We start from the raw sequence: 14,214 nt of genomic DNA on the forward strand, positions 1-14,214 counted from the left end.
TATCTTCTGCTCCCCATTTAGAACCTCTGGCTTTCATTCTCAGTTCTTAGCTTTAATATTGAGGTATCTGGACCTCTATATGTGGCTTTGAACTACCATCACACTTCTTGTAGTTTTAGAACCAGTTGTTCTTCCAGGGGCTGGTTTATTAAATTCCTAGGGAATCCATGAGAAGAGTTACATAGGGAAGGGCCCCCTTCCAAGGCTGCGACTGAGAAAGCCCTCTCTTTCCTTGTATTGGGCACTTGAGACCTTGACAAGAAAACGAGTTTTTGCTGAAGCCAGTGTGACATATATACAGCTAATCCAAAGAGGAGACTGATAGAAACAGCTCTTACATACAAAGCCACAGAGGAGGTATCCTAAACTTGGAGATAGATCTGCTCCTCATCCATGGAAAGCCAGAGGGAATATAATACACATGATAGAGAGAACAAAGTTTAAGACTCACTATGTTGTGGTATAGGGGTGTGCAATCTTTTGGCTTCCCTGGGCCACATTGGAAGAAGAATTGTCTAGGGCCACACATAAAATACATTCACTCTACTAATGATAGCTGATGTACCAAAAAAAAAATCACAAAAAAATCTCATGATGTTGTAAGAAAGTTTACAAATTTGTGTTGGGCTACATTCAAAGTTGTCCCGGGCTGCATGTGGCCTCCAGGCCACAAGTTGGAGAACCTTGTAGTAGAAACCATGCATCAAGGAATCAGGAGACATGTCCAGTTCTACAACTTGCTGCATAACTTTAGCAAACCCCTTCCATGTTATGAAATTCCATTTTCTGGATGAAAGTTGAGGGAGCTCGACACACAATTTCTAAGAGTCTTCAGAACTGAAATAGCTGCCTGAGTGGGAAAAGGATCCACAATCCATTAACAGCCAGGAAATGGATAAGGTTTTAATGTCCAGTGAAGAAATTGCTGTGGGGGTAGAGTTGGACAGGGCACCTGAGAGAGATATATCTCTCAGGAAAGGAGGGATACAAGAATTCAGTTTAACCTGATTTTTTTGAAGGCTTACTTCTCCCTTTCTACTGGTGCCACCAGTACAGTGCCTTTGGTCTAGTCATAGGGTTGGATACCTGGCTATACTTTTGGGATATAAGGGCTAGCTTGATACTTCCCAGAATAGCCTTTAAATAGTTAGCTTTCCCGTGTATCTGTCGTAGGAAATTCAGTGGATATTGGTGTTGTGATTGGACCACTGCCAAGGTCCAAGAAAGGAAAGCTTCATAAGGGAGAGGATTAGCTGAGCCTGATTGCCGGGAGTCTACCAATAGACTTTTGCCCCTGAGGCTTCTGGCACAGTACCTCTCTTGTCTTTTGGAAGTGCTAACAAATCTTCTGCCGGCTTGCTAAAGTACCAAACTAGAAAATTTGAGAAAAGGCCAGGCGTGGTGGCTCACATCTATAATTCTAGCACTTTGAGAGGCCAAGGAAGGCAGATTGCTTAAGCCCAGGAGTTCGAGACCAGCCTGGGCAACATGGCAAAACCCCGTCTCTACAAAATATACAAAAATTAGGCTGGGTGTGGTAGCTCACGCTTATAATCCCAGCACTTTGGGAGGCCGAGGCGGGCGGATAATGAGGTCAGGAGTTCGAGACCAGCCTGGCCAACACAGTGAAACCCTGTCTCTACTAAAAATACAAAACTTAGCCAGGCGTGGTGGTGGGCACCTGTAATCCTAGCTACTCAGGAGGCTGAGGCAGGAGAATTGCTTGAACCTGGGAGGCAGAGGTTGCAGTGAGCCGAGATTGCACCACTGCACTAGAGCCTGGGCGACAGAGCTAGACCCCATCTCAAAAAAAAAAAATACAAAAATTGCCAAGTGTGGTAGCACACACCTGCAGTCCCAGCTACTTGGGAGGCTGAGATGAGAGGATCACCTGAGCCTAGATGTCAAGGCGACGGCGAGCCATGATTGCGCCACTGCACTCCAGCCTGGGTGACAGAGTAAGACTCTGTCTCAAACCAAAAGTAAAAAGAAAATTTGAGAAAAATAATTCTTGAGGCCTATTTAATCACTTCCTAGAAAAAATTATTGACATCACTCCCAGAGTCCCAGGAGAGCAACACTAAATGCAACTTAGTTAAAAATTTTTCTGTCATAGCCATACACACTATATTCTAAATACACACACATAAGCACATTAGATACATATTCACACACAGTAGATAGAAACACATACAGAGGAAAAAAATATATATATATATATCCTATGTCTTTCCTAGACAGCCTTTTCTGACTGAAAAAGTATACTTTTGTGCCAATCAGAGAAAATTTCAGTCACCTAAAAACCTCATAAATGGAGAAAATCTGTCCATAGTAAAACAGCAGTCTGAAGCTCTGTGGGGTAATTATGGCCTCCAGGGCTCTACCAAGTAAAGAAAGCTGTGGCTGTAGCTTTCATACTAGCAGGGATCAACATTCACTGAATCACATATGTCACTGCCAGTTGTGTCATTTCCCATGTAGGCCTAGCTCTTAGTTGTTAGGAAGTCTTGCTGTTGCACCAGTTGCCTGTGTGATGGTTTGCCTAACCCCATCCTCACTCTATCAGAAGGCTTTTTCCTCTAACCTCACATCATTGGGTGGATTTGCTGGGGGAGAGAGGCTCATGGAGATTTGGAGAAATTGCTCCTTCCTTAGAAGGTTCAGGGTTGGATGGCTCACCTCTTTTAATGCTGTGACCCAATCGGAAGGACAGATGCAAAGACTGGAAGAAAAGAACAGGAATAAATTGGAGGTATTCCAGGATGGGAAGTGGGGAGAGGGTAGAGGAAAGCTTAAAGGAGTTTTTATTTCTCCATGTGGGATCTGCTTCCTCCTTTTTTTTTTTAGACGACGTCTTGCTCTGTCGCCGGGCTGGAGTGCAGTGGTGCGATCTCGGCTCACTGCAACCTCCGCCTCCCAGGTTCAAGCAATTCCCCTGCCTCAGCCTCCCGAGTAGCTGGGATTACAGGCATGCACCACTACACCTGGCTAATGTTGTATTTTTAGTAGAGACGGGGTTTCTCCATGTTGGTCAGGCTGGTGTCAAACACCTGACCTCAGGTGATCCGCCTGCCTCGGCCTCCCAAAGTGCTGGGATTACAGGCATGAGCCACCGAGCCAGGCCAAGTATTTTACACTTTTACATATGAGTAAATTCTCTAATTTATCTGAACTATTAAATAACCCTATGATTCAGGTGAAGCAGGGAGGACCAAACATGTCCAGAGAGGTTGTTGAAGATCACAAGTAAGCCAATAGCCGATGGAACCCCAGCACTACTCCTAACTTCTAGTCCAATTCTTTTTTTTATGCTAAGCTGATTTTCTTTTGGAATTGAGTATGACTTGTCTTCCCAATGAGATTATGAACTCATGCAGGGCAGGGATCTTGTATTACTGATCTCTCTATCCCCTAAAGCAGCAACCACATTGTCTTGAATGAGGCAATGATTGTGTGTGGTTAATTGATTTCTCAAAACGTATATTCTCTTTCTGCTCCTAACACTGGACACCGTTGATCTGTAACATTTAAGTGTCTGTGTTTATTTCAATAAGCCTTTGCTGAGTATGACGATATGTTTTCAGCACACAGTGCTAGGCCCTGATATGTAAATTAAAGTTATAAGTAAGATAGGGTCTCTGTACTCAGGGAGCTTAAGGTTTTGTTAGAGATTTCTAAAAGCAAGAGAAATAGTGGTTAAGGGGAAGGCCCTAGGACCCTGTCCTCTCTTTCTTACTTCAAGCATCAGGTTGGATTCATTTCTGCAAGTTACTATAACAGGACAACTTTTAAATTTCTGTTAAAATCATTTTATTTTTAGGAATGAACTGCTTTAAAGCTAGGCTTTGTCCTTCCTAATGGATGGAGTAGGGGTAAGATCAAGAGAAGACGTGGTCCAAACTCTGCAGTCTAGTTTCATTAGGACAACTTGGTCAAATTTACTATGGAAATAGGTTTATTCTTCTGAGGGAAAAATTCAACCCTGTTGTGGCTTTTCTATCCAAAAGAGCTACCTAGAGTGAATATTTTGTGAGCAATGGATACATTCTTCTCTAAGAGGTCCTCAATGTCCTTTACAAAGCCATTTCTCAGCAGTCTTCACTCTCTTTCTTACTCTGATCAGGGTAATTAACCAAGCCTTAACTGAACACTGAACCAGGCTTTGTTATGGGAAATACAGAGATTGAAAAATTTAGTCTCTTAAACCTCTTCAGATGTAAGTGGAGAGAAAAGACTAAAGTGAATAAAAACAGCTCCCACACAAATCAGTTGTATTCCAAGGGCAAAATGAATGGTAATTGTAGTAAATGTTACAGTTCAGAGAAGGGGATGATTTGTATGGTCAAGAGAGGTTTCAAGACTAGGATGGGTAAAATTTAAAGGGGTGAAGAAGAATGGGGTGGTGGCGGGGCAGAGAGACAAAGGCAGCCTAGGCAAAGGTAAAGATATACAGAATGAGTATAGTAGGACACTGTGGGGTTTTGGGTGAAATAGAGACAAAGTAGTGAGAAATGAAGCTGGAGCAGCCACAGACACACAGAAATGGCTTGACTTCTAGGGTAAAGAGCTTGGACCTTATCCAAGAAGCAATGGGCTGCTATTTGGTATTTATAGCCTCAGCTGAACTTTTACTTCTATATGTTCCAGCTGTCTACTGGGTTATAAACTTTTTGAGCGCAAAAATGGTATTCTATATCTTTGTAACTCCAGAGTATCTAGCAGTGTAAATCAAAGTACAAGAAATATGAAGGAGTTTGGCAGTTAGATTATGAATTAAATTCCTGATTTTGCTTGTGGTCATATGTAAAATTCAGTGAAACAAAAATAGGCCCCAACATGTACTTGAAAATTCAGGAGAAGAAAAAAACAACTGAAAGCTTGAGTTGAACTTTGACCAACAGAGACAGATGAACATTCCTTTCCTTTGTATAAGATGAAGAAAGCCTCTCCAGGAAATGACAAGTGCCCTTGGGAATTTAAGCTCTGCTCTCAAGGCCCTAACAAAAGATAAGAGAGGTTTTATGTCTTGTTTCCCTGAGACATTTGTGAACTGTTATGTGAAGTCACTTACAGGGCAAGGAGACTTCCTACAGCCTCTGAAATAATATTTTGGACAATCTCTAACTTACAAATGCTTGATTCAAAAATGATACTTCCATAAAATTAACTGCCATCTCTTGCTTTCCTCTCTCTTACTTTCCTCTCCCTTCTCAAAGGCCCCCCAGTAACACTGGCAGTTGAGCTATTCAGGAAAAAAAAACAAAAAAAACGATTTTGTAGAAAATCTGTGGGAGAAAGGGACAAAGCTATGATGACCAGAACAGTTTAGGAGACAGGAAGAGGGTAGGTGTATGTTCCCAAATAGGTCTTGCCTGACTATATGATGGCTTTCTGCCCCAAAATATCTTTTCTCACATAGCTTGAATTATTTTCAAAACTTTTTAATTCTGCCTGAAGATATACTATATGGAAACACATTGAGATAAATAAGCACTTTATTTTAATGTATACAAACAACATCTAGGAGGACTAGGGCAGTTACCAGACCCTTGCTTATTGGTGTTGCTTTGCCAAATGAGTGCTCATTGCTTAAAGGCAATTAATCAGCTTACTTTTCCTGATGACACAGTGAATATTAGGATAGCTGAGAAACTGAGAGTTTCAGTTGTGATAGAAAGGGTACTCCACTCTGTGGGGCTTAGCAGACTTCAATGGTGTAAGTAGGCAGAATTCTAAGATGGCCCCACAAGATTATTGAGTCCCTTTCGCATACACACCTTGTTCTGTAGCAGGACGAGCCGCAGACAAAACTCCTCAGACACCGAGTTAAAGAAGGAAGAGGTTTATTCGGCCGGAGGCATCGGCAAGACTCCTGTCTCAAGAGCTGAGCTCCCTGAGTGAGCAATTCCTGTCCCTTTTAAGGGCTCACAACTCTAAGGGGGTGCGCGTGAGAGGGTCGTAATCGATTGAGCAAGCAGCGGGTACGTGCCTGGGGGCTGCATGCACCGGTAATTAGATCAGAACAAAACAGGATAGGGATTTTCACAGTGCTTTTCTATACAATGTCTGTAATCTATAGATAACATAACCGATTAGGTCAGGGGTCCATCTTTAACTACCAGGCCCAGGGTGTGGCACTGGGCTGTCTACTTGTGGATTTCATTTCTGCCTTTTACTTTTTACTTTTTCTTTTTTTGGAGGCAGAAATTGGGCATAAGACAATATGAGGGGTGGTCTCCTCCCTTAGTTCCAGTTATTCAATCAAATGGTAGTATAGGTACTGCTGTGAATGGATTTTTCCAGATGAAATTAAGATGCTAAATCACTTGACTATATAATTGGAAGAGTATCCATCTGGGTGGGTCTGATCTAACCACACAAACTCTTTAAAAGTAGAAAGTTTTCTCCAACTAGTCACAGATGAAGAAGTCAGAGACTTGAAGTATTAGTGGGATTTGATGCTTGAGAAATTCTCTGTTGCTGGTTTGAAAATGGAGAGGGATAGGTGGAAAGGAATATGGGTAGCCTCTTGGAGATGAAAATGGCCACTAATTGACAGCTTGCAAGAAAATGGAAACCTCAGACCTACATATGAAAGGCATTGAATTCTGCCAACAACCCGAATGAGCTTGGAAGAAGACCCTGAGACCCAGATCAGAACTGCAACCCTGGCTGACATCTTCGTTTCAGCCTTGAGACCTCCACAGAGGATCCAGCTAAGCTATGCCAGATTCCTGATCCATAGCAGCTGTGAGCTAATAAATGGCTGTTATTTTAAGCCATTCAGTTTGTATTCTTTTGCCATGCAACAATAGAAACTAATACAAATGTGATCTCCTGGGATGAGCCTGAGGGTATTGGCATTCAAGGGTCTGGGGAGAAGGGCTCTATAAAGCAATGGGCTACCAAAAGCAAACTTACCTATTTGAATATTTTGCTGATGAACTGGCTCTACCCAAGAAGGTGGAAGGTAACTCTCTTCCTTTTTTCTTCCTATGTCTCAGCCCATAAACAACAGGACCTTCTAGCACCCAGCACTTAAATCAGGACTGTGTTTCTAAGGCTCAGTTTTACATGAGTTAAATAGATTTTCACAGTTTGGCTTGAGAATTTAATGTTGTAATGATTAATTTCATGTGTCAGCTTAACTGGATCAATAGGTCTCCAGATATTTGGTTAGACACACTACTGGATGTGTCCATGAGGGTGTTTCCAGATTAGATTAGCATTTCAATCAGTAGACAGAGTGAAGCTGATTGCCCTTCCCCATGTGAATAAGCATCATCCAATTCTTGAGGACATGAACAGAACAAGAAGGTGGAATAAGGGTGAATTTGCAATCTATGACTGACTGCTTGAGGAGGGACATCAGTCTTCTGCACCCAAACTTAGAATTACACCATCAACCACCCTTGCCTTCTCAGGCCTTTGGACTAGGATTGAACTATACCACTGGTTTTCCTGGGTCTCCAGCTTGCAGATGGCAGATCATAGGACTTCTCAGCCTCCATAATCACATGAACCAATTTCTCTCTGTCAATCTCTCTTTCTCTCTCTCCAAGTCCCATGGTTAGCCAACTGCAAGCTGGAGACCCAGGAAAACCAGTTGTCTTGGTTCCATTACTCTGGAGAACCCTGACTACTAAACATGTATATCATTTTCTTCCATGGGAAAATGCATTCTGAGTTCCCAAAAACTTAAAAGCAAGTTTGGAGAACAAAACCTATTTGTTCTGAAAAGACTATATACCTTTTAATAGAATATAAAGCTTTAAATCAATGGAGATATATACCCTTTAAAGCTTTATACTCTATTAAAATGTGTGTATATAAGGCCAGGCACGGTGACTCACGCCTGTAATCCCAGCACAGCACTTTGGGAGGCCGAGGTGGGAGGATCACCTGAGGTTGGGAGTTCGAGACCAGCCTGACCAACATGGAGAAACCCTGTCTCTACTAAAAATACAAAATTAGCTGGGCATGGTGGTGCATACCTGTAATCCCAGCTACTCGGGAGGCTGAGGCAGGAGAATCACTTGAACCCAGGAGGCTGAGGTTGCAGTCAGCCAAGATCACGCCATTGCCCTCTGGCCTGGGCAACAAGAGCGAAACTCTGTCTCAAAAAAAATAAAAATAAAAAAAGTGTGTGTGTATGTATATAATTGTAGAGTTCCAGTCACCTGAGAGCTGATATTTGGGCGAATGAAGGGGAGAGAAGGAACCGGTCTTTTAGCAAGATCATATAGCACAGTAGTTAATATCATGGCTCTAGATCCTGGTTGCCTGTGTTTAAATTCTAGTTCTGTTACTTTCCAGTTATGTGATTTTGGGTAAATTGCTTAACCTCTCAGTGCCTACTGCTTTCCCATCTGTAAAATGGATTAATAGTACAACCTCATAGGGTTGCTGCACAATTAAAAAGTAAATATATGTAAAGCTCTTAAGATAATACCTGGCACACTATATACACAGCTTCCTTAACCCTACTAGCAAATCTAAATCTGTTCATCTCTAAAGCTTGAGTTATTTTAGCATCCAGGTATTTATAATCTTGGAATATTAGAGCCATCCTTAACCTACTGTACCCAAAGATTCTCTCATCTAAGGCCAAGTTAGGATGTTTTTATCTAATATAAATCCTATCCGATTCAATAGAAGCCTGATATCTTTATTTGTGGTCACCAAAGAAGAGCAATTCTGTTTGTTTCTTTAAAGTGGAAGAGTGTGTAAATGTTAGGAGAGTGAACCTGAAGATAAGTTTTAAAATTTCAGTCTCAGGGATATGCTTATAACCTAAGTTCAGAGTGTGAAGATGATCTATCTGATTGGGAAGCTAAATACCCAAGTGAAGTTATGTGACTAAATTTAGAATTTTGTTTTTCACTCTTTGGTCAAATTTAAATCCAAACCAAATCCAAATAGCATGGCCTGTTTGTGCAGTACTCTGGTATATCAAAAATGAATGGAAAGTCAGGCATGGTGGTGCATGCCTGTAGTCCCAGCTACTCAGGAGATTGTGGTTGGAGGATCACTTGAGCCCAGGAGTTTGAATCCAGCATGGGCAACATATCAAGACCCCATCTCTTAAAAGAAAAAAAAGTGGACATCCTTGACACAGATTGGCCTAGTTTTAAGAATAGAAAATGGGCTGGGCGCAGTGGCTCACGCCTGTAATCCCACCACTTTGGGAGGCCAAGGCGGGTGGATCACTTGAGGTCAGGAGTTCGAGAACAGCTTGGCCAACATGGTGAAACCCCGTCTCTACTAAAAATACAAAAATTAGCTGGGCATGGTGGTGGGCACCTGTAGACCCAGCTACTCGGGAGGCTGAGGCAGGAGAATGGCATGAACCTGGGAGGCGGAGCTTGCAGCAAGCCAAGATAGTGCCACTGCACTCCGGCTTAGGCAAAAGAGCGAGACTCTGTCTCAAAAAGAAAAAAAAAAAAGAATAGAAAATGATGACTTAAAAGGCTATTGAAGAAAATATGTTAGTTTGTTTTGCATTGCTATAAAGGAATATCAGAGACTGGGTAATTTATAAAGAAAAGAGGTTTATTTGGGTCATGGTTCTGGGGGATGTATAAGAATCATGCCAGCATCTGCTTGGCTTCTGGTGAGGTTTCAGGAAGCTTATGATTATGGCAGAAGGCAAACAGGGAATCAGTGTATCACGTGGTGAGAGGGAGCAAGAAAGAAGGGAGGAAGTTCCAGACTCTTTTAAACAACCAGATCTTACCTGAAGTCATACAGGAAGAAATCACTCATTACATGGGGAGAGCACCAACCCATTTGTAAGGGATCAACCCCCATGACCAAGCCACTTCCCACTAGGCCTGCCTCCAATATCGGAGATCACATTTCAACATGAGATTTGAACATCCAAACTATATCACAAGGCACAAGAGATGTTGGAGCAACACATAGCTCTTTCTAGATGTTTTGATGAGTTAAATGCAAAAAATCAGAAATACATGTCAGGAATTTTCCTGAAATGACACAAAGTTACAAAAATTTACACAAAGGCCATGGGTAGTGGCTCACGCCTGTAATCCCAGCACTTTGGGAGGCTGAGGCGGGTGGATCATCTGAGGTCAGGAGTTCAAGACCAGCCTGGCCAACATGGTGAAACTCCATCTCTACTAAAAATACAAAAATTAGCCGGGTGCGGTGGCAGGCGCCTGTAATCCCAGCTACTCTGGAGGCTGAGACAGAAGAATTGCTTGAACCTGGGAGGCAGTGGTTGCAGTGAGCTGAGATCGTGCCACTGCACTCCAGCCTGGGCGACACAGTGAGAGTCCGTCTCAAAAAAAGAAAAAAATTACACAAAACTGCCTGAGGCAGAATAATTTAACAAGCACCAAATGTTTGGGAAATAGTTTGAGACAAACCTTTATTCAAACCCATACATGTTTATGCTTGGTGTATGTGTTCTGTAGGGTATGAATGTCTTTCTGTGTGTATGTGTGTATGGTAGTTGGTTGGGGTAAATTCTGTAAAATAGAATCATTGAATAATTGTAGTATAATGATCCTGAAGGCATAGAGCTCTTCAGTTCACATTTGAATAGTCTGAGGTTTTTGTTTAGGAGTGAACAAGAATACCATTTATTATTCTATTTTACTGGCAAAAATCCAGAAGCTGGCAAAAAGGAAAACAACTTGTAAAGAACAACATTAGCACATCCCAATATAATGTGTGTGAATCATTTGGCAAAGGATCTCTTTACTCATGTCTCCTTCATCTTTTTCAATGTTGGCTGCATTTTAGAAATATCTAGGAAAGCAGATTTTGAGGGGTATGAGGGAGAATATAAAATGAAATTCATCCAGTCACATCTCTTATAGCTCCAGCACTACAAGCCAAATGAGCGTAGACTGGCTCCTCTGTGTGAGGAGCTGCCGGATGTAGTAAAAAGATCATAAAATCTAGGTTCTAGTCATAACTACCATTTATTTGAGCCTCAGTTTTCTCATGTGTAAAATGACAATACCAATTTCTGTGCTGCCAAACTTAGAGTTGTGACAATCCAATGAAATCGTGGGTGAAAAGATGCTTTGTAAATTGTATAGTGCTGTGCCAATCCCAATACCCTCCCTTCTTTGTGCACTCTGATTTTTAATGTATTTTTTAATTGACAAGTAAAAATTATATAAATTTATGGTATACAACATGATGTTTTGATATGTGTATGTGTGTACATACACACATACACACACATTATGGAATGACTAAATCAAGCTATTTAACATATACATTACCTCACATACATCATTATTTGAGATGCAAACACTTGAAATCGACTTTCTTGGCAATTTTCAAGTAAACAATATATTGTTATTACCCACAGTTACCATGATGTACAATAGATCTCTTAAACTATTCCTTCTGTATAACTCAGATTTTGTGTCCTCTGACTAACATCTCCCTAATACACACCACCCACCCTCTGGGTAGTTATCACCACCATGCTATACTATATCTGTTTCTATGAGTTTGACTTTTTAGATTTCACATAAACGATATCATGCACTATTTGTCTTTCTGTGCTTGGCTTATTTCACTTAACATGCCTTCCAGGGTCATCCATGTTATGACAAATGACAGCATTTCCTTCTCTTTAAGGCTGAATAGTATACTATTGGGTATATATGCCACATTTTCTTTATCCATTCATCCACTGATGGGCACTTAGGTTGATTTCATATCTTGGCTATTGTAAATAATGCTGCAATAAATATGGGAGTGCAGATGTCTCTTCAATATACTGACTTTATACCCTTTGGATATATACTCAGTAGTGGGATTGCTGGATCATATGGTAGTTAATTTAATTTTTTTTTTTTTTTTTGAGACAGAGTCTTGCTCAGTCGCCCAGGCTGGAGTGCAGTGGCTCGATCTCCGCTCACTGCAAGCTCCACCTCCCGGGTTCACGCCATTCTCCTGCCTCAGCCTCCCGAGTAGCTGGGACTACAGGCGCCGGCCACCACACCCAGCTAATTTTTTTGTATTTTTTTTAGTAGAGACGGGGTTTCACCGTGTTAGCCAGGATGGTCTCAATCTCCTGACCTCGTGATCCGCCCACCTCGGCCTCCCAAAGTGCTGGGATTACAGACATGAGCCACCGCGCCCGGCCGTTAATTTAATTTTTGAGGAACCTCCATACTGTTTTCCATAATGGCCGCACCAGTTTACATTTCCGCCAATAGTGTACAAGGGTCCCCTTTTCTCTGCATCCTTGACAGCACTTGTTCTCTTTCATCTGTTTGATAATAGCCATTCTAACAGCAATGAGGTAATATCTCATTGTGGTTTTAATTTGCAGTTCCATGATCATTAGTGGTTTTGAGCTTTTTTTTTGTTTGTTTGTTTTTTTGAGACGGAGTCTCACTCTTTCACCTAGGCTGGAGTGCAGTGGTGTGATCTTGGCTTACAGCAACCTCTGCCTCCCAGGTTCAAGCAATACTCCTGCCTCCCGAGTAGCTGAGATTACAGGCATGCACCACCATGCCAGGCTAATTTTTTTTTTTTTTTTTTAGTAGAAATGGCATTTCACCATATTGACCAGGCTGGTCTCGAATTCCTGACCTCAAGTGATCTGCCTGCCTTGGCCTCCCAATGTGCTAGTATTACAGGCATTAGCCACTGCACCTGGCCTTGAGCTTTTTTATATATATCTGCTGACTATTTGTATGTCTTCTTTTGGGAAAGGCCTATTCATGTCCCTTGCCAATTTTTTAATCAGGTTATTTGTTTTCTTATTACTGAATTGAGTTCCTTATATATTTTGAAAATAAATCCCTTATCAGATGTATGGTCAGCAAATATTTTCTCTCATTCCATAGGATGCCTCTTCATTCTGTTGGTTTGTTCCTTTGCTGTGCAAAAGCACTTGTGTAGTTTTGCTTTTGTTGCCTGTGCTTTTGGGTTCATACTCAAAAAAGAATTGCCCAGATCAATTTCATGGAACTTTTCTCCTATTTTTTCTTCTGGTAGTTTTACAGTTTCAGGTCTTATGTTTAATTCAATCCCATTTTGAGTTTGTTTCTGTATATGATGTGAGATGAAAGTCTAATTGCACTCTTCTGCATGTGGATAACCAGTTTTCAAAGGATCATTTGTTGAAGACGCTGTCCTTTCCCATTGTGTGTTCTTGTTATATTTGCTGAAAATTAAAAACTATAGGCCGGGCATGGTGGCTCATGCCTGTAATCCCAGCACTTTGGGAGGCCGAGGTGGGCGGATCACCTGAGGTCGGGAGTTAGAGTCCAGCCTGACCAACATGGAGAAACCTTGTCTCTACTAAAAATACAAAATTAGCTGGGCGTGGTGGGGCATGCTTGTAATCCCAGCTACTCGGGAGGCTGAGGCAGGAGAATCGCTTGAACCCCGGAGGTGGAGGTTGCTGTCAGCCAAGATTTCGCCATTGCACTCCAGCCTGAGCAACAAGAGCGAAACTCCGTCTCAGAAAAAAAAAAAAAATTAAAAACTGTAAGTGCATGAATTTATTCCTGGACTCTTTCTTCTATTCCATTGGTTAATATGTCTGTTTTTATGCCAGTACTATGTTCTTTTGGTTACTATAGCTTTGCAGTCAATTTTGAGGAAAGGTAGTGTGATGTCTTCAGCTTTGTTCTCTTTTTTTTTTTAAGATGGAGTTTTGCTCTTGTTGCCCAGGCTGGAGTACAATGGCGTGATCTTGACTCACTGCAACCTCCACCTCCTGGGTTCAAGCGATTCTCCCTGCCTCGGCCTCCCGAGTAGCTGGGATTAAAGGCATGTGCCACCACGACTGGCTAATTTTGTATTTTTAGTAGAGACGGGGTTTCTCCATGTTGGTCAGGCTGGACTCAAACTCCCGACCTCAGGTGATCCGTCCACCTCAGCCTCCCAAAGTGTTGGGATTACAGGTATGAGCCACTGCGCCTGGCCCAGCTTTGTTCTTTTAGTTCAAGATTACTTTGTCTATCTGTGATTTTTTATAGTTCTATACACATTTGAGGATTTTTTTTCTATTTTTGTGAAAAATGTCATTGGAATTTTGATGGCAGTTGCATTGAATCTTGAGATTGTTTTAGGTAGTATGGACACATTAAGAATATTAACCCATCCAATTCAGAAACACAAGATTTATTTCCATTTAATTGTGCCTTCAATTTATCTCATCAAGGGGTTTTATTTATTTATTTTTTTTTTTGAGACAGTCTTGCTCTCTGT

At 41.6% G+C, this 14,214-nt stretch overlaps 1 annotated feature.

Moving 5' to 3' along the window:
* Window positions 2,464-2,964: an enhancer, noted in NCBI's record as "H3K4me1 hESC enhancer chrX:73134838-73135338 (GRCh37/hg19 assembly coordinates)". NCBI's record gives its function as "activates a minimal SCP1, AML or CMV promoter by ChIP-STARR-seq in primed H9 embryonic stem cells {active_cell/tissue: H9 hESC(primed)}" and the evidence as "EXISTENCE:reporter gene assay evidence [ECO:0000049][PMID:30033119]".

This window comes from Homo sapiens, chromosome X (assembly GCF_000001405.40).
Source record: "Homo sapiens chromosome X, GRCh38.p14 Primary Assembly".
Lineage (NCBI taxonomy): Eukaryota > Metazoa > Chordata > Mammalia > Primates > Hominidae > Homo > Homo sapiens.